The sequence below is a fragment of the Homo sapiens genome, chromosome 16, assembly GCF_000001405.40.
Source record: "Homo sapiens chromosome 16, GRCh38.p14 Primary Assembly".
In the NCBI taxonomy this organism is placed as follows: Eukaryota; Metazoa; Chordata; class Mammalia; order Primates; family Hominidae; genus Homo; species Homo sapiens.
The window spans coordinates 89,677,439-89,696,356 of NC_000016.10; the positions used below are offsets into that span (position 1 = coordinate 89,677,439).

At 53.3% G+C, this 18,918-nt stretch overlaps 1 protein-coding gene and 1 long non-coding RNA gene across 29 annotated transcripts, besides 2 other annotated features; one reads left to right on the forward strand and one right to left on the reverse strand.

Annotated features, from left to right (window-relative positions):
• Window positions 970–1,170: a silencer, noted in NCBI's record as "peak2666 fragment used in MPRA reporter construct". NCBI's record gives its function as "represses an SCP1 promoter by STARR-seq MPRAs in K562 erythroleukemia cells {active_cell/tissue: K562}" and the evidence as "EXISTENCE:reporter gene assay evidence [ECO:0000049][PMID:32103011]".
• LINC02166 (long intergenic non-protein coding RNA 2166) lies at window positions 5,069–9,474 on the reverse strand. 4 transcript variants are annotated; one of them, NR_184151.1, is made up of 3 exons: window positions 9,009–9,474; window positions 7,385–8,237; window positions 5,069–5,752 (listed from the first exon to the last, which is right to left on the reverse strand). It is a non-coding gene; the product is annotated as a long intergenic non-protein coding RNA 2166 (long non-coding RNA). The 4 variants fall into 4 exon arrangements; NR_184152.1 differs by having other exon boundaries at window positions 5,069–5,738; window positions 7,372–8,237; NR_184150.1 differs by lacking the exon at window positions 7,385–8,237 and having other exon boundaries at window positions 5,069–5,357.
• CDK10 (cyclin dependent kinase 10) lies at window positions 9,251–18,916 on the forward strand. 25 transcript variants are annotated; one of them, XM_011523405.4, is made up of 13 exons: window positions 9,251–9,359; window positions 11,814–11,886; window positions 13,115–13,186; window positions 14,005–14,107; window positions 14,368–14,449; window positions 15,011–15,078; window positions 15,836–15,888; window positions 15,960–16,029; window positions 16,735–16,794; window positions 17,131–17,350; window positions 17,493–17,632; window positions 17,855–17,907; window positions 18,157–18,916. In XM_011523405.4, exons 1-13 carry the CDS (start codon window positions 9,273–9,275, stop codon window positions 18,252–18,254), a joined length of 1,179 nt encoding a protein of 392 aa, XP_011521707.1. In that variant the 5' UTR covers window positions 9,251–9,272; the 3' UTR covers window positions 18,255–18,916. The 25 variants fall into 25 exon arrangements, 23 of the variants coding, with proteins under 23 accessions (XP_011521707.1, XP_011521709.1, XP_011521708.1 ...); XM_011523407.4 differs by having other exon boundaries at window positions 18,291–18,916; XM_011523406.4 differs by having other exon boundaries at window positions 17,493–17,614.
• Window positions 9,436–9,685: a silencer, noted in NCBI's record as "silent region_7919". NCBI's record gives its function as "represses an Ori minimal core promoter by ATAC-STARR-seq in GM12878 lymphoblastoid cells {active_cell/tissue: GM12878}" and the evidence as "EXISTENCE:reporter gene assay evidence [ECO:0000049][PMID:35858748]".
• Window positions 18,917–18,918: the final 2 nt, after the last annotated feature.

Genomic DNA, 18,918 nt, shown 5'->3' on the forward strand with positions numbered 1-18,918 from the left:
AAATACAAAAATTAGCTGGGCATGGTGGCAGGTGCCTGTAATCCCAGCTACTTGGGAGGCTGAGGCAGCAGAATCACTTGAACCCAGGAGGCGGAGGTTGCAGTGAGCCAAGATCACACCATTGTACTCCAACCTGGGCAAAAAGATCAAAAGAAAACTCCATCTCAGAAAAAAAAAAAAAAAGAAAATGGTTAACAGAGAAATAACTTTAAATGAAGACTATCACAGTTTTCTTTCCTTTTTCTTTTTTTTTTTTGAGAAGAGTTCACTCTGTCACCCAAGCTCGAACGCAATGGCGTGATCTTGGCTCACCGCAGTCTCCGCCTCCCAGGTTCAAGCTATTCTCCCACCTCAGCCTCCCAAGTAGCTGGGATTATAGGTGCCCACAACCACGCCTGGCTAATTTTTTTTTTTTTTTTTTTTGAGACAGAGTCTCGCTCTGTCTCCCAGGCTGGAGTGCAGTGGTGCTATCTCGGCTCACTGCAAGCTCCGCCTCCCGGGTTCATGCCATTCTCCTGCCTCAGCCTCCTGAGTAGCTGGGACTACAGGCACCTGCCACCACGCCTGGCTAATTTTTTGTATTTTTAATAGAGATGGGGTTTCACCGTGTTAGCCAGGATGGTCTTGATCTCCTGACCTTGTGATCCGCCCAGTCTGGCTAATTTAAAAAAAATATTTTTATAGTAGGCTGAGGCGTGAGAATGGCATGAATCTGGGAGGCGGAGCTTGCAGTGAGCCGAGACTATGCCACTGCACTCCAGCCTGGGCAACAGAGTGAGACACCATCTCAAAAAAAAATTTATTTTAAATAAACAAATAAATAATTACAGATGTAAAGATAGTTATAAGGAGATATTTTTAGTATGAAAAGTTAAAAGGAAAATAATTTCATATGAGAAAGAATCTTGTGTGGTAAATTTTTGTTCTAAAATGGCTAGTTATTTTGGAAAGAGGGATGTTCAGAATAAAACAGGAAGTCCAAGTATATCATAAATGGTTTGTGTAAGTTTTGATAAAGTTTGTAAAAAGCTTTTTTTTTTTTTTTTTAAGATGGAGTCTCGCTTTGTTGTCTGGGCTGGAGTACAGTGGTGCAATTTTGGCCTATGTCAGATTAACAAGGCTTTCTTGGAGCATTAACCCACTCTTTAATTAAAAAAAAAAAGTTATAAAAATGTTTATGGAAATTATCTTTTTTGTTTTTGAGGCAGAGTTTCGCTCTTGTTGCCTAAGTTGGAGTACAGTGGTGTGATCTCAGCTCACTGCAACCTCTGCCTCCTAGGTTCAAGCAATTCTTCTGGCTCAGGCTCCCAAGTAGCTGAGATTACAGGCGCCCACAACCATGCCTGGCTAATTTTTGTATTTTTGGTAGATACGTGGTTTCTCCATGTTGGCCAGGCTGGTCTCGAACTCCTGACCTCAGGTGATCGACCTGCCTCGGCCTCCCAAAGTGCTGAGATTACAGGTGTGAGCCACCGCACCCAGCCTTATGGCCTTATTTTTTTTGTTTTTTTTTAGATGGAGTCTTGTTCTGTCACCCAGGCTGAAGTGCAGTGGTGTGATCTCGGCTCACTGCAACCTCCACCTCCCAGGTTCAAGCAGTTCTCCTGGCTCAGCCTCCCAAGTAGCTGGGATCACAGACGCACACTACCATGCCTGGCTACTTTTTGTATTTTTAGGAAAGATGAGGTTTGCCATGTTGGTCAGGCTGGTCTTGAACTCCTGACCTCAAGTGATCCGCCTGCCTTGGCCTCCCAAAGTACTAGGATTACAGGCGTGAGCCACCACACCCAGCCTGAAAATTATATCTTGTGCTCAAGATGATTACAATTTAATAGATTTGTTTATAAAATTTTAGAGAGATTTAATTGGCCTTATGCTGTCTTTATCTTTTGAGAAGAAATTCCCTCAAAGAATAAAGGTTTCTACATTTTTTTTTGAAATCTTTGAGTTATCTCAGCACCATAGGAAAGGTAAAAACAGAAAAAAAAAAAGAAAATAAAAAAAGAAATCTGTGAGTTATCACTGTGGCTAAGTGAATGACTTATTTTACAATGACCTGTGATCCTATTTAGTGATAGCAACTGTTTTAAAACTTTTTCTAGGCCAGGCACGGTGGCTCACACCTGTAATCCCAGCACTTTGGGAGGCTGAGATGGGCAAATCAAGAGGTCAGGAAATCAAGACCATCCTAACTAACATGGTGAAACCCTGTCTCTACTGAAAATACAAAAAATTAGCTGGGCGTGGTTGCAGGCGCCTGTAGTCTCAGCTGCTTGGGAGACTGAGGCAGGAGAATGGCGTGAACCCGGGAGGCAGAGCTTGCAGTGAGCCAAGATTGCAGCACTGCACTCCAGCCTGGGTAACAGAGCGAGACTCTGTCTCAAATAAAAACAAAAACAAAACAAAACACTTTTTATATTTGACAAACTTTCCAAAATCAAATTCTTTCTTCAGTCCTCATTAATTTTTGTGTGTGTGTGTCTGATGGAGTCTCACTCTGTTGCCCCAGCTGGAGTGCAGTGGCACAATCTCGGCTCACTTCAACCTCCACCTCCCAGGTTCAAGCGATTCTCCTGCTTCAGCCTCCCAAGTAGCTGGAACTACAGGTGCCCGCCACCACACCTGGCTAATTTTTATATATTTTTTTCTTTTTGAGATAGAGTCTTGCTCTGTCACCAAGGCTGGAGTGCAGTGGCACGATCTCAGCTCACTGCAAGCTCCGCCTCCCGGGTTCATACCATTCTCCTGTCTCAGTCTCTTGAGTAGCTGGGACTACAGGCGCCTGCCACCACGCCCAGCTAATTTTTTTTTTTTGTATTTTTTAGTTGAGACAGGGTTTCACTGTGTTAGCCAGGATAGTCTCCATCTCCTGACCTCATGATCCACCTGCCTCAGCTTCCCAAAGTGCTGGGATTACAGGCGTGAGTCACCTGCCTCAGCCTCCCACAGTGCTGGGATTACAGGTGTGAGCCACTGCGCCAGGCCTCCCAAGGTGTTGGGATTACAGGCGTGAGCCACCGCTCCGGGCCTCCCACAGTGCTAGGATTACAGGTGTGAGCTGCTGCACCTGGCAATTTTTTGATATTAGGTCCCCTGAAGTCCAAAAAGAGATATATGGCTTATTTGGTATAATGAAATCATACAGGAAGCATTGTTAAAGGTGAAATGGTGTTTTTCTTGGGATTATATTTATATAAATGTGTTGTTAGTGTGTGTTCCAAAATTGTATGAGATGCCTGTGATTCTGATACATCTTAGTATATGGTATTAGTAGTAATTATGATTATTATGTAAAATTGTTGTATGCCACATAAGTAACCAAATTTGCTTGTCAATTATGTCTTTTTTTTTTCTTTTTTCTGAGACAGAGTCTTGCTCTGTGGCCCAGGCTGGAGTGCAGTGGTACAGTCTTGGCTCACTGCAACCTCTGCCTCCCAGGTTCAAGCGATTCTCATACCTCAGCCTCCAGAGTAGCTGGACTGCAGGCGCATGCTACCACGGCCAGATAATTTTTGTATTTTTAATAGAGACGGGGTTTCTTTTTTTTTTTTTTCCCTGACAGAGTTTTGCTTTTGTTGCCCAGGCTTGGAGTGCAATGGCGCGATCTTGGCTCACTGCAACCTCCACTTCCTGGGTTCAAGCAATTCTTCTGCCTCAGCCTCCCAAGTAGCTGGGATTACAGGTGTACACCACCATGCCTGGCTAATTTTGCATTTTTTTAGTAGAGACATGGTTTCACCATGTTGATCAGGGTCGTCTCAAACTCCTGACCTCAAGTGATCCACCCGCCTCAGTCTCCCAAAGTTTTGGGATTATAAATGTGCGCCACTGCACCCGGTCAAGACAGGGTTTTGCCATGTTAGCCAGGGAGGTCTCAAACTCCTGACCTCAAGTTATCCGCCCTGCTTGGTCTCCCAAAGTGCTGGGATTGCACACATGAGCCACTGTGCCTGGCCTCAATTATGTCTTTAACTGTGGCTGTTCTAAGACTTTTGTCATCCACAATTGTTGTTTTACTTTTATCCTTTCACAGAGCAGTTTATAATCAGCTATAGAACTCTGAGGTACTCTTCAATCTAAGTTTCTGATCACTTTTGAGATTGTGCCATTGGAATAGAGCAAAAAACTTCCAAGACTCTCATTGAGAGCTGCTATATTCATGAGGATTGTTCATCCAATATTGGGCAAAATGAGAGTTAATTTTATGGACTAAACTAATATAAGACTGAAATAATCTTTTTATGTTTTTGCTTAAAACATTACTGATTCTTTCTGTTCTTTCAGAACCAAGAAAACTTTTTTTTTTTTTTTTTTGAGACAGAATCTCACTCTGTCGCCCAGGCTGGAGTGCAGTGGCGCCATCTCGGCTCACTGCAAGCTCCGCCTCCCAGGTTCACACCATTCTCCTGCTTCAGCCTCCCAAGTAGCTGGGACTACAGGCGCCCACCACCGCGCCCGGCTAATTTTTTGTATTTTTAGTAGAGACAGGGTTTCACCGTGTTAGCCAGGATGGTCTCAATCTCCTGACCTTGTGATCCGCCCACCTCGGCCTCCCAGAGTGCTGGGATTACAGGCGTGAGCCACGGTGCCCGGCTGGTAACTTTTTTAACTTTGAGCTATTTGCAGCTTTTAGCAATTGAGTAAAGTACACTCCTGTGAGGAAGATTTGGAACATATTTCTGTTTTCTTTTTTGTTTTTTATATTTTGCTTGGGTAGCATATTTCTTTCTGATTTCTCCAAAAATTGGGAACTATCTGTGAGCACTATTTAAAAAAAAAAAAAAAACTTTTCCCTCTCCCTTCCCCTATTTGTATTCTAATGTCAATATAATGATGTGTGCACGTGCAGTAACAATCTGTTTTCTCTTGTAATAGGACATAGAGACACTGCATATTTTACCAAGGCTTTGACTGGAATGGCATGCTTTCAAATATAAACAGACGGCTTTAAGGAATCAGAGTTGACCTATAGTGCCCATCAAAGCCCTTGGGAAAACTGGCTTCATACTGTATCCACCCAGTGGATTCTTCTTGCCCAGATGGAGCCCATGTATCAAGGTAGGGAAACTGCAATAGAGAAAGGGTTTAATTCACACAGAGACAAGTGAATGGGAGACCAGAATTTGATGATTACTGAAATCAGTCTCCCCAAGAATTTGGGGACTAGGGTGTTCCAAAGGTAGTTTGGGGGAAGGGGTGGGGTAGCTTGGCAGTGGGTGCTTGCTGCTGATGGGTTGTGGGGGCGGGGGGCCATCGTAGGGTGTGAGACAGGATCCTCCCGTGTGCTGAACCGCTTCTGGGTGGGGCTGCAGGAGTAGTTGGCAGGTCCAGGTGGAGCCATCATCAGTCAGTGGGTCCTGTTGGAGCCGTAGGTATCAGACATGCAAAAAACCCTTGCGAGGTACTGCAAAAGGCCAATCTTAGGTTACAATAGCATTGTTATCTGCAGGACCTCTGGAATAATGGCTGATAATTGTTTATGTCTACATCTTAGCCAAATTCAGGCTCCTCTCCTCTCCCTAGCCTGGTGGCCCCTCATTAGTTTTACAAATACAGTTGAGTTTTGGGGAGGGGCTATTATCATGTAAACTATAAACATCTCCCAAAGCTAGCCCAAGAATAACTGAAGGCAGCTTGAAGGCTAAAGGTCAAAGGGGGTTTGGCTACATCAGATCTTCCCCAATTGGCATAATTTTCTCAATGATACAATTTTTGTGGCCGGGCTCGGTGGCTCACGCCTGTAATCCCAGCACTTTGGGAGGCCAAGGCGGGCAGATCACGAAGTCAGGAGATTGCAACCATCCTTGTCAACACAGTGAAACCCCGTCTCTACTAAAAATACACAAAAAATTAGCCGGGCGTGGTGGCGGGCGTCTGTAGTCCCAGCTACTTGGGAGGTTAAGGCAGGAGAATGGCGTGAACCTGGGAGGCGGAGCTTGCAGTGAGCCGAGGTCGCACCACTGCACTCCAGCCTGGGCGACAGAGCAAGACTCCGTCTCAAAAAAAAAAAAAAAAAAAAAAGCCTACATGGTAAATATTTATTCTTGCTACAGTTTATACAAATAACCAGGCCAAGTACAATAAGACTAAAACTTATTTTGAAAACAAATCAGTACTACCTGATTTCACTTTGGTAAAAATAGGAGACTAGAGAGAGAAAAATTATGTTTCAAAATAAACTATAGTATACCTGTTATTAGATTCTAGCCTTGCCTAAGGTTTTTCAACTTTTATTATTTTCTCTTTTTTTGTTTGTTTATTTGTTTTTTCAGACAGGGTCTCACTCTGTCACCCGGGCAGTGGTGTGGTATCAGTTCACTGCAACCTCTGCCTCCTGGGTTCAAGTGATTCTCGTGCCTCAGCCTCCCGAGTAGCTGGGATTATTGGTGTGCACCACTATGGCCAGCTCATTTTTTTGTATTTTTAGTAGAGATGCGTTTCACCATGTTGGCCAGGCTAGTCTCGAACTCCTGACCTCATGATCCACCGGCCTCGGCCTCCCAAAGTGCTGGGATTATAGGCATGAGCCACTGCGCCGGGCCAAAGCCGTGCTTTTCTTAAAGCTCTGCGAACGAAAGCTAGACAACTTAAACCTCAGAAGAGAATAATGGTACCTATTTATATACATAAACCACTTTCACGCCTGCCTGCTGTGTATGGACTTCAGAGGAACACAGCCTACGTCAGTTTTCTAGGATTGTTCTCTCCACGTGCTCTTTGTTTTCTTTCTTTCTTCTTCCCTCTATTTTCCTCCCTCCCTCCCTTCCTTCCTTCCTTTCACAAAGTCTCACTCTGTTACCCAGGCTGGAGTGCAGTGGCACGATTTTGGCTCACTGCAACCTCCGCCTTCCGGGTTCAAGCGATTCTCCTGCCTCAGCCTCCCGAGTACCTGGGACTACAGGCAACCACCACCACACCCAGCTAATTTTGTTAGTTTTAGTAGAGACGGGGTTTCACCATGTTGGCCAGGCTGGTCTCGAACTCCTGACCTCAAGTGATCTGCCTACCTCGGCCTCCCAAAGTGTTGGGATTATAGGCATGAGCCACTGTGCCTGGTCACAACACCTGCATTTTCTTTTTTTTTTGTTTTTTTTTTTGAGACAGAGTCTCACTCTGTCACCCAGGCTGGAGTGTAGTGGTGTGATCTTGGCTCACTGCAAGCTCCGCCCCGTGGGTTCACACCATTCTCCTGCCTCAGCCTCCCGAGTAGCTGCAACTACAGGCACCCGCCACCATGCCTGCCTAATTTTTTGTATTTTTTAGTGGAGATGGGGTTTCACTGTGTTAGCCAGGATGGTCTCTATCTCCTGACCTCGTGATCGACCCGCCTCAGACTCCCAAAGTGCTGGGATTACAGGCATGAGCCACCACGCCTGGCCAACACCCCCATTTTGTATACCACACTCAACTCCCCCATTTTCTACATGCTGATCAAAACCAATCTGAATGGAGTCTAGGTCTGGCTGTGGGCTGTTGGGAAGAGGCCCCCAAATCTGGCCATCAACTGGCCGCAAAACTGGCCATAAACAAAATCTCTGCTGCACTGTGACATGCTCATGATGGCCATGACTCCCACACTGGAATGAGGGCAAGGAACACCTGGCCCACCCAGGGCGGAAAACCGCTTAAAGGAGTTCCTGAACCACAAACAATAGCATGAGCGATCTGTGCCTTAAGGACGTGCTCCTGCTGCAGATAACTAGCCAGACCCATCCCTTTATTTCCCGTAAGAAGTGCTTTTAATCTATAATCTATAGAAACAATGCTTATCACTGGCTTGCTGTCAATAAATATGTGGGTAAATCTCTGTTCGAGGCTTTCAGCTTCGAAGGCTGTGAGACCCCTGATTTCCCACTCCACACCCTATATTTCTGTGTGTGTTTCTTTAATTCCTCTAGCGCCGCTGGGTTAGGGTCTCCACGACCGAGCTGGTCCCGCAGTGGGCAGTGGTTTGGGCCCGACCGAGCTGGTCCCGCAGTGGGCGGTGGTTTGGGCCCGACCGAGCTGGTCCCGCAGTGGGCGGTGGTTTGGGCCCGACCGAGCTGGTCTCGCAGTGGGCGGTGGTTTGGGCCCGACCGAGCTGGTCTCGCAGTGGTTTGGGCCCTGCTTGCTCGACTGGATTTCAACAGTGAAGCCAGATTAGAGGACATGCTGGCTGCCCCGATCCTGGACCTGGACCAATGGTGCTTCCTAAACATTCCATGTCAACTTTTCTTTTTCCACCTTCCAGGGCTGGGCTGTGAAAGAGATTGGAGAGGCAGGTGCCTGTGAGAGAAGCTTCTACCAGCCTGGGAAGTCAGGTCTTCCATGAGTGAGGGGAGGTATCTACTTTGCCAAACCTTGTTAGGGAATGCTGACATAGCTGCCTCTTCCTGCCCAGAAGCTAAGCTTGAATGCCACCCCTCACAGAGCTTCTCTCCTGTCTTTCACTCACTCCTGCTTATTTCTGTGACAGAACTTGACAGCATGGACATTGCCACTTGCTTCCTTCAGTCTCCTGGAGTCCCCATGTCCTGAACACAGAGGAGGCACCCAAATGCTTGCTGAAGCCACATCCCTGGACCAAGTGACCTGACCCTCACCTGGAGGACCTTCACCTTCACCTCTCACCTGGAGGACCCTCTCACCTGGAAGACTCTCTCACCTGGAGGACCACCCCACCTGAAGGACTCCCAACTGGAGGACCCTCTTACCTGGGGGACCCCCTCCGCTGGAGGACCCTCTCACCTGGAGGACCCTCTTACCTGGAGGGCCCTTCACCTGGGGGACTCCCCCACCTAGAGGATCCTCTTACCTGGAGGTCCCCTCACCTGGGGAACCCCCCCCCCACCTAGAGGATCCTCTTACCTGGAGGGCCCTTCACCTGGGGAACCCCCCCCCCCCACCTAGAGGATCCTCTTACCTGGAGGACCCCCCACCGAGAGGACCCTCCCCCCCCACCTGGAGGACCTCCCCACATGAAGGACTCCCACCTGGAGGACCTTCTTACCTGGGGGAACCCGTCTCACCTGGAAGACCTTCACCTGGGTAATCGCCGTGGCCTCCCACTACGGCGCAGCCGGGTCGGCTGCCCGGGCTTCACCCTAAAATAAGGCCCGAACTGCAGCAGTCGGAGCCGATCCCTGGAGCCCAGCGCCTAGGGCGGACCCGCGGGAGCGTCTCTTGGTAACCGTTGCTAAGGAGAGGAAGCCCGGGAAGGAGCTTTCGCGCCTGCGCCGCGGGGCCGTCCGCGTCTGCGCCTGCGCGCAAGAGAGGCGGGGCCAGCGCTCGGCATGGCGGAGCCAGATCTGGAGTGCGAGCAGATCCGTCTGAAGTGTATTCGTAAGGAGGGCTTCTTCACGGTGCCTCCGGAACACAGGGTGCGCGGGGTGCCACCCGGGCAGCTCTGCCCGCCTCGCTAGCGGCACTGCCCGGCTGGGTCTGGGGAGCCTCGTGTCGCGCTGCCGCGCCGAGGCTTCCGGCACGGGCGGGAACGACAGTCCCAGAGTTCCCCGCGGCGGGGGCGGAAGCCGGGGCGGGGCGGGCTCAGGACCCCCGACAGCCGGTCCCTGGAGATCTGAGGGGCCGGGGCGGGCTCAGGGATGCCTCGCGCCCGCGGAGAGACGGGCCCGGGACTTGGGAAGAGCAAGCTCCGGGATCCAGCTCGGGCGCTGCTGGGTTCAGCGCCCGAGCTGGGCTTTGCAGGCTGAGCCGCGAGCCACTTGTTTGTGGGGAGAATTTACACCCGCGACGAGTTCGAGCTTGAAGGCTCCCGCTGGGCTTGGGCTGCATGGAGCGGGGTCCAGCGCTGCCTGGCGGCTTCACGCGAACCCTGGGCGCGTCCCTTGCGGAGGTGCCGGTGCCTCCCTCTGCAGAGACCAGGAGAGAGCCTCTGGGCGTTGGGCGGTGTTGCCCAGGTGCACGGCTGGTGGGGGTGGAGAGCCCTGAACTTTGGCCGCTGGTTTGTGTTTTTAACTGCTGGCTGGTGCTCTGAGAGGCCAAGCCACGTGTTCAGTAAGAATCATTAACAGATCGTGGCTGGATGACAACAGGAGCCACACTTTACTCATCCAGACGTGCAGCAGGCGCTCACCGCGTTGAGAGCCGTGTGCTGGACTCTGGGGTGAAGTAGTGAGTTGGCCTTTTCTTTTTTGTTGTTTTTTTGAGACAGGGTCTAGCGCTCTCGCCCAGGCTGGAATGCAGTGGCGTGATCACGGCTCAGTGCATCGTCAGCCTCCTGGGCTCAAGTGATCTTCCTGCCTCGGCCTCCCAAGTGCTGGAATTACAGGCGTGAGCCACCGCCCCCAGCCTGGCCTGGCATTTCTTTGAGTTCAGGAAGTGTGACAAGGATTTGGACACCCAGAAATAAGCGTGTCGAGAAGAGCACAAGCAGAGGATGTGAGAAGGGGAATTAAGGCGGGAAAGGGAGTTTGAGACTAGGCCATCAGTGAGTGACAGGCCAGATGCTTCTGACTCGGTCCCCAGGTGTCAGGAAGGAATCAGACTGAGGACAAATGCGGCCAGTGGCTCACACCTGTAATCTCAGCAATCTGGGAGGCTGAGGTGGGAGGATTGCTTGAGCCCAGGTTTGATACTGAGGGTTAAGAGAAGGGAAGCCGGGAAATGGGGGCTGTGAGGTTTCAAACCTTGCTACGTGTGCTTTTTTTTTTTTTTTTTTTTTTGAGACGGAGTCTCATTCTGTCACCCAGGCTGGAGTGCAGTGGCGCAGTCTCGGCTCACTGCAAGCTCCACCTCCTGGGTTCACGCCATCCTCCTGCCTCAGCCTCCCAAGCAGCTGGGACTACAGGCGCCCGCCACCACGCCCAGCTAATTTTTTCATATTTTTAGTAGAGACGGAGTTTCACCGTGTTAGTCAGGGTGCTCTAGATCTCCTGACTTCGTGATCCACCCACCTCAGCCTCCTAAAGTGCTGGGATTACAGGCGTGAGCCACTGCGCCCGGCTTACATGTGCTTCTTAGATCCATGGAGAAGGATACAGACTCTACTAGTTCAGAGACCCCAAAATACAGGGCCTCAAGATGATGCCTTTTTTCACTCTCCCCTAACATTCTGGAGAGAAGCAGTTGTTTTGCACAGGTGGGTCAGGCATTCTGGTTCCATTTTTTCTTCCCGTCACTGAGGTGAGAAGAGGTGAAAGCTTCCTTTCACCTGGAAGTCACACGGTCCCTTCAGCTCACATTCCAAGGCCAGATGCCACTGGGTAGCGTTTCATAACTTCCAGGAGGTAGTGATACAGGGATGCTGGGACAGCAGCCTCTGCCACAGATGTATTTTTGTATGTGGGATTGAAAGGGAGTATCTGAGTGGCCGCCTCTGATATTTCTTTCAAAGCATTGGCCCAGTATCGTCACCACCTTTTCTCATCAGAAAAGCCCAAGAGGCCGGGTACGGTGGCTCACGCTTGTAATCCCAGCACTTTGGGAGGCCAAGGCGGGCAGATCACTTGAGGTCAGGAGCTCAAGACCAGCCTGGCCAACATGGTGAAACCCAGTCTCTACTAAAAATAGAAAATTAGGCGGTTGTGGTGGCACCTGCCTGTAATCCCAGCTACTCAGGAGGCTGAGGCCGGAGAATCACTTGAACCCAGGAGGCGGAGGTTGCAGTGAACCATGTTCTTGCCACTGCACTCCAGCCTGGGCAACAGAGCGAGACTCAGTCTCAAAAAAAGAAAAAAAAAGCCCAAACGTGTGGTTGCCTTTCTGTTTGGTGAGCAAGACGTGAGTGGGCTCCCTGGTACAAATTCCATTTGAAATTTCCTCAGTTGTTCCATCAGCTGCCAAATTTCCACACTGGCAACACCCTTCTGTTTCAGCTGGGACGATGCCGGAGTGTGAAGGAGTTTGAGAAGCTGAACCGCATTGGAGAGGGTACCTACGGCATTGTGTGTGAGTGGCCAAGGCTAGGACATGTGGCCGCAGCTCGTGGCTGTGACAGTGTGGGACGAGACTGTCGAAGCAGCAGCCGCGTTGGGGCTGGAAGGGACTCAGACCCTGTGCTCTGAAACAGGGCAGAAACCTGTTCAGGAACTTCAATTCCTGATGTAGTTATCACAAACATTGTACCATTTCTGGGTAAACGTAAGCATCCGGTTGCTAATGCCCATAATCCAAACGTGTCACTGCAGAGTACACAGAACTGTTAGAGAAATAAAATACAGAACTTTCCAGAAGCAGCAGGAGCTGGACATGGTGCTCATGTCTATCACCTCAGCAACTCTGGAGGAGTCACCTGAGCCCAGGTGTTTTTTCTTTTTGTTTGTTTTTGAGATGGGTCTTGCTCTATTGCCCAGACTGGAGTGCAGTGGCATGATCATAGCTCACTGCGGCCTCGACCTCCTAGGCTCAAGTGATCCTCCCACCTCAGCCTCCTGAGTATCTGGGACCACAAGAGTACATAAGCACACCCAGCTAATTTTTAAATTTTTGGTAGAGATGGGATCTCCCTATGTTGCCCAGGCTGGTCTTGAACTTCTGGGCTCAAATGATCCTCCTGCCTCGGCCTCCCAAAGCACTGGGATTACAGGTGTGAGCCACTGCACCCGGCCAAGCCTAGGAGTTTGAGGCTGCAGTGAGCTGTGATCACGCCACTGCACCCCAGCCTTGGCAACAGAGTGAGACCCTGTCTCAAAAAAACCAAAAACACCACACACAACTAAAGGTTATAACAGATGTGAAATTGGCGTAGGTCATTCTGGAAGCTGCACACATTAGCAGGATGTTTTGTAGAGCCATCTTCACACAAAATAAGGTTTGCTTTTTTCTGCATAGAGTACCTTATTTGCTTTTAGGACATTACAAGAGAGCACAAAGCAGTGATCTGCATGCTAAGGAGGACATGGAGAGCCTGGAGCCACAGAACTGAGTGGCTGGAGGCCAGGGTCCAGCACAGAGCAAAGTTGGGCACCCCCTGCCCAGTTCAAATGAGGAAACCCTCCGGGGGAACGCGTCTCGGGCTAGGGGCGTTGCACAGAGTGGGGACTGAGTGTCACTGGGCATGAGGTTGTCAGAGGAAAGAACGGGGACCCCTGTGGCTCAGGGAGAGCCTCCCGTTCAGCGCTAGGGAGCCCACGAGGGGCATCGAGATGATGTCATCACCAATGTGTTTCCATTCCAGATCGGGCCCGGGACACCCAGACAGATGAGATTGTCGCACTGAAGAAGGTGCGGATGGACAAGGAGAAGGATGGTGAGCAGGAAATTGGGGTGTTGGGACCTCGCACTGGGAGGAGGCAGAAGGATGTGAGTTACCTGAAGTTTCCTCAGAGCGACTGCACGGTGCTTGTAGCGGGGGCCGGCCTCTGGGAGGGTTCTGGTGTGGCCCAGCACATCACCCCCAGGTCCACACGCAGCCTCAGCTGTCTGCCAGGAGGGCTCTGCAGTCTCCATCCCCTCCTCCCCCTCCTGTCTGGTGAGGCCACCTCACTGCAGGCTCAGCTCTGCTGTCCCCTCCACCCCCAGCACCTGCCTGTGCAGGCAGGGCCCTGCCATGCCCCACATAGATGTCCACGGTGTTTAGAGAGGTGCCGATTCGTATTTGGTCAAGGAAGAGTTAAAAGTGCTTATTGGGCCGGGCATGGTGGCTCATGCCTGTAATCCCAGCACTTTGGGAGGCCGAGGCAGGCGGATCACCTGAGGTCGGCAGTTCAAGACCAGCCTGACCAACATGGAGAAACCCCATCTCTACTAAAAATACAAAATTAGCCAGGCGTGGTGGCACATGCCTGTAATCCCAGCTACTAGGGAGGCTGAGGCAGGAGAATTGCTTGAACCCGGGAGGCAGAGGTTGCGGTGAGCCGAGATGGTGCCATTGCACTCCAGCCTGGGCAACGAGCGAAACTCCGTCTCAAAAAAAAAAAAATGCTTATTGGGGTCGCCCCAATTCTCCCTGAGGTGGGGACACTGCAGCACCTGCTATCAGGTGTTCGTGAAGCCCAAGAGTGGCTGGGGTTGGGGCTTCCCCGCCATCACTGGGGTGGGGCTCGCTGAGGCCACCTCCCTCCCCAGGCATCCCCATCAGCAGCTTGCGGGAGATCACGCTGCTGCTCCGCCTGCGTCATCCGAACATCGTGGAGCTGAAGGAGGTGGTTGTGGGGAACCACCTGGAGAGGTACGTGGTCTCCTGGTCTGCACATTGGGCCCTAGGGAGCATGTGTCTTGGGCTAGAGGTGTTGCACAGAGCGAGGACTGAGTGTCACTGGGCATGAGGTTGTCAGAGAAGAGATGACCCCACCTCACCGCCTGGCTCAGCCCATTGTCTGAGGGGGACACAGGTTGTCCTGCCCATGTCCCCTCCTGCAGCAGGGGAGGCTCCACTTCCACCCCTTAGGAGAAGGCCGGAGAGTGGCATGCATCTTCTGTTTCTTCCAGCATCTTCCTGGTGATGGGTTACTGTGAGCAGGACCTGGCCAGCCTCCTGGAGAATATGCCAACACCCTTCTCGGAGGCTCAGGTGCGTGGCAGAGGGGCCTGGGGTGGGGGAATGGGCTTCATGGGCCCTTGTGGTGCACATTTATAACGAAACAGGGCACTTGGGGACTTGAAGAGCTGCTGCTGCCTCTGCCTCCACCTCCCAGTGTTTCAGCGAGCTTCAGTGAGGTGGAATTCCTGTGGTGGGGGCATCTGCTGGGAGCGGGCAGCCCCAGGGCCGAGAGCCTTATGAGGGCACTGGTTTCCTGGGCTGTTGGGAGCAGGCAGCCCCGGGGCTGAGAGCCTTCTGAGGGCACTGGTTTCCTGGGCTGCTGGGAGCGGGGAGCCCTGGGCGGAGAGCCTTCTGAGGGCACTGGTTTTCTGGGCTGCTGGGAGAGTGCAGCCCCGGGGCCAAGAGCCTTGTGAGGGCACTGGTTTCCTGGGCTGCTGGGAGCGTGCAGCCCCGGGGCCGAGAGCCTTCTGAGGGCACTGGTTTCCTGGGCTATTGGGACTGCTAGTCCTGCTGGCCAGTGTGGGTGTGGCAGGGCCCAGCTGGGCTTCCCTGCAGGCTCACCCTGACTGGTACCTCTGACCCTCTGCACAGGTCAAGTGCATCGTGCTGCAGGTGCTCCGGGGCCTCCAGTATCTGCACAGGAACTTCATTATCCACAGGTGGGTGACAGCTAGGCAGAGTTGGAAGCACAAATTCGGCTGAGGCCTAACTCTGCTGCCCCTGTGGAGTTACTAAAAGCTCAGGGGTTCCCAGCTGCAGCAGCCTGCCCGCTGCTCGCACTCCATTTGTGTTTTTTTCTAAAATAGAGAAGGGGTCTCTCTGTGTTGCCCAGGCTGGTCTCACACACTTGGGCTCAAGTGATCCACCCACCTTGGCCTCCCAAAGTGCTGGGATTACAGGTGGGAGCCACCACACCCAGGCATGCACTCCGATTTTTAAAAGGTCCAAACATCAACAGCATGTAAGAGTTAATGAAAAAAAAAATAATAAAGATACTACGCCGGGCACAGTGGCTCACGCCTGTGATCCCAGCACTTTGGGAGGCCGAGGCAGGCGGATCACGAGGTCAGGAGATCGAGACCATCCTTGTTAACACAGTGAAACCCCATCTCTACTAAAAATACAAAAAAATTAGCCGGGCGTGGTGGCGGGCGCCTGTAGTCCCAGCTACTTGGGAGGCCGAGGCAGGAGAATGGCGTGAACCCGGGAGGCGGAGCTTGCAGTGAGCCGGGATTGCTCCACTGCACTCCAGCCTGGGCGACAGAGTGAGACTCTGTCTCAAAAAAAAAAAAAAAAGATACTAAAAAGCCCAAAGCTGAGGAAACGTGCAGGAAGTCTACGGGCATTGGTGCCGTGGGGGAGCTCTCAGCCCCTGTGGCCCTCTGGGAGCCACCTGCCACTGTTTTTCCATCACAGGGACCTGAAGGTTTCCAACTTGCTCATGACCGACAAGGGTTGTGTGAAGACAGGTGGGTGCAACTTGGGCCAGGCCCTGTCCCTAGATGGCACTTGGTGACACACACTCCCCTCTCTGCTGCAGCGGATTTCGGCCTGGCCCGGGCCTATGGTGTCCCAGTAAAGCCAATGACCCCCAAGGTGGTCACTCTCTGGTAAGTCCTTCTGAAGCATGGTGGCCCCTGGGGACCAGGCCTGTCTGGTGGAGGTCTCCTTGGGGATGTCAGGCCGAAGCTGCAACTGGCCTTGGGAATGTTAAGCTACAGGGTCTGTGCACACTCAGAAACGTTGGGTCTAGGACAGCCTCCAGGACACAGCAGGGCTGTGCCACAAAATGGTGAGAGACGGGCTCAGTGGCGTCAAGGGCCTGCCTAGATCAGACACACCTCGCCTTGAGAGCTGGAAACACCGTGGCCGTGAAACCATCTCTGGAGGGAAGGCTGCTTCACGGACTGAAGGACAGGCAGCTTGCATGCTTTCCCTGGTTCTTCCTCCTGGATACTTTTAACCAAACAGGGTCATGCTTAGCCAGGGCTGAATATCAGAGTTGGTCAGAATCAGGTCAGGACCCCAGTGTCGTGTACTCCCCATCTGAGAACGGGTTGGTAGTGGCTGGTGTGGCTGTGTGCCGAGGGTCCGTGGTCCCTGCGACTCTCAGGACACCGCTGCACGTGACAGCTCTCGCCCCCGGCAACCATTGCTGTGTGTGCCACCTGGATCTGCAGGGCCTGGGGCAGAGGGTGGTCCGAGTTGGGACAGGTTTCCAGGCCACCACAGGCTCTCGGGGAGGCTGTGTCCTGTGGAGGCCTGGGCTGGGGGAGAGGAGCCGGCTGTATTGAGGTGGGTGCTTCTGTGTGTAGGTACCGAGCCCCTGAACTGCTGTTGGGAACCACCACGCAGACCACCAGCATCGACATGTGGTGAGGAGATACGGTTACCGCTCCTGGGGCCTCAGGAAGGGCTGGGACAGGAGCCGGGTCACCTGGTTCCTGAGCTCAGCCTCAGGGGAGGGGCAGGAGTGCAGTGGGGTCTTTGCCAGCCTCCCACTCCCAGGGAGGTGGGCCTGAGCCTGGAAACCCAGGAGGAGGTGTGAGAACTTAGCTTGCTGTTCTCAGGCTGGGAGCACAGAGGTCTGGAGGAGGCACGCCTGCCCCTGCACTTGTCACCCCGGGAGGCCTGCGGGGCCCAGGAGGGGAGCCAGTGGTCCCTGCCTGTCCTTCACAGTGTCCCTGACCCAGCGTGCCTCACACTGGCAGGGTCAGCAAAGGTCTGGCTGCAGTCAGGTCCTCTGTTCCTCGCGCTGGCGGGGTCAGCAGACGTCTGGCCGCAGTGAGGTCCACTGTTCTCTGCAGGGCTGTGGGCTGCATACTGGCCGAGCTGCTGGCGCACAGGCCTCTTCTCCCCGGCACTTCCGAGATCCACCAGATCGACTTGATCGTGCAGCTGCTGGGCACGCCCAGTGAGAACATCTGGCCGGTGGGCGTCCTGGGCAGACCCGCAGCCCCCGCCCGTGCCCACGCCCTCTGCGCCCGCAGCCCCCGCCCGTGCCCACGCCCTCTGCGCCCGCAGCCCCCGCCCGTGCCCACGCCCTCTGCGCCTCAGCTCCTGCCTCCCATAGGGCTTTTCCAAGCTGCCACTGGTCGGCCAGTACAGCCTCCGGAAGCAGCCCTACAACAACCTGAAGCACAAGTTCCCATGGCTGTCGGAGGCCGGGCTGCGCCTGCTGCACTTCCTGTTCATGTACGACCCTAAGAAAAGGTGCTGATCTCTGCACGGGGGGCAGGGACCCTCACCACCCACACTGTCCAGACCGTTTCCCAGAGCCCAGCCTCACTGCGGTGGAGAGGCCCCTCCCCAGGCACAGCCGCTCGGAGTGGCCACCTGGCTTCCTTTGAGCATTTGAATCACAGGCTGCTCAGCTGGGTGGGAGGTGAGGAAGCCGCACTCACAAGTCGCACTAACGCAGGCTGCCTCCTCCAGGGCGACGGCCGGGGACTGCCTGGAGAGCTCCTATTTCAAGGAGAAGCCCCTACGTGAGTGTGCAGGGTTCCTGACTCGCTCTGTGGGGTATGGCTGGGAGCCCGTTTTGCCCGGGGTGGGTGGTGGAGAAGTGGCCTGCTGCCCTCACTGACGGCACACCCTTTCTGGGGTAAGAGGACAGGGGCATGTGGAGGCACAGACAGCCCAGGGCCAGGTCCAGAGGCAGAGCTGGACTCAGACCTGGGCCTGCTCCTCCTATCTGGGGCCCTGCCCCGCCCAGCACTGAACCCTTCTCCCTGCAGCCTGTGAGCCGGAGCTCATGCCGACCTTTCCCCACCACCGCAACAAGCGGGCCGCCCCAGCCACCTCCGAGGGCCAGAGCAAGCGCTGTAAACCCTGACGGTGGGCCTGGCACACGCCTGTATTCCCACACCAGGTCTTCCGATCAGTGGTGTCTGTGAAGGGTGCCGCGAGCCAGGCTGACCAGGCGCCCGGGATCCAGCTCATCCCCTTGGCTGGGAACATCCTCCACTGACTTCCTCCCACTGTCTGCCCTGAACCCACTGCTGCCCCCAGAAAAAGGCCGGGTGACACCGGGGGGCTCCCAGCCCGTGCACCCTGGAAGGGCAGGTCTGGCGGCTCCATCCGTGGCTGCAGGGGTCTCATGTGGTCCTCCTCGCTATGTTGGAAATGTGCAACCACTGCTTCTTGGGAGGAGTGGTGGGTGCAGTCCCCCCGCTGTCTTTGAGTTGTGGTGGACGCTGGCCTGGGATGAGAGGGCCCAGAAGACCTTCGTATCCCCTCTCAGTCGCCCGGGGCTGTCCCGTGCATGGGTTGGCTGTGGGGACCCCAGGTGGGCCTGGCAGGACTCCAGATGAGGACAAGAGGGACAAGGTATGGGGTGGGAGCCACAATTGAGGATACCCCGAGACTACCAGGAGAGCCCTGGGCTGGAGGCTGAGCTGCATCCCTGCTCCCCACATGGAGGACCCAACAGGAGGCCGTGGCTCTGATGCTGAGCGAAGCTATAGGCTCTTGTTGGATAAAAGCTTTTTTAACAGACA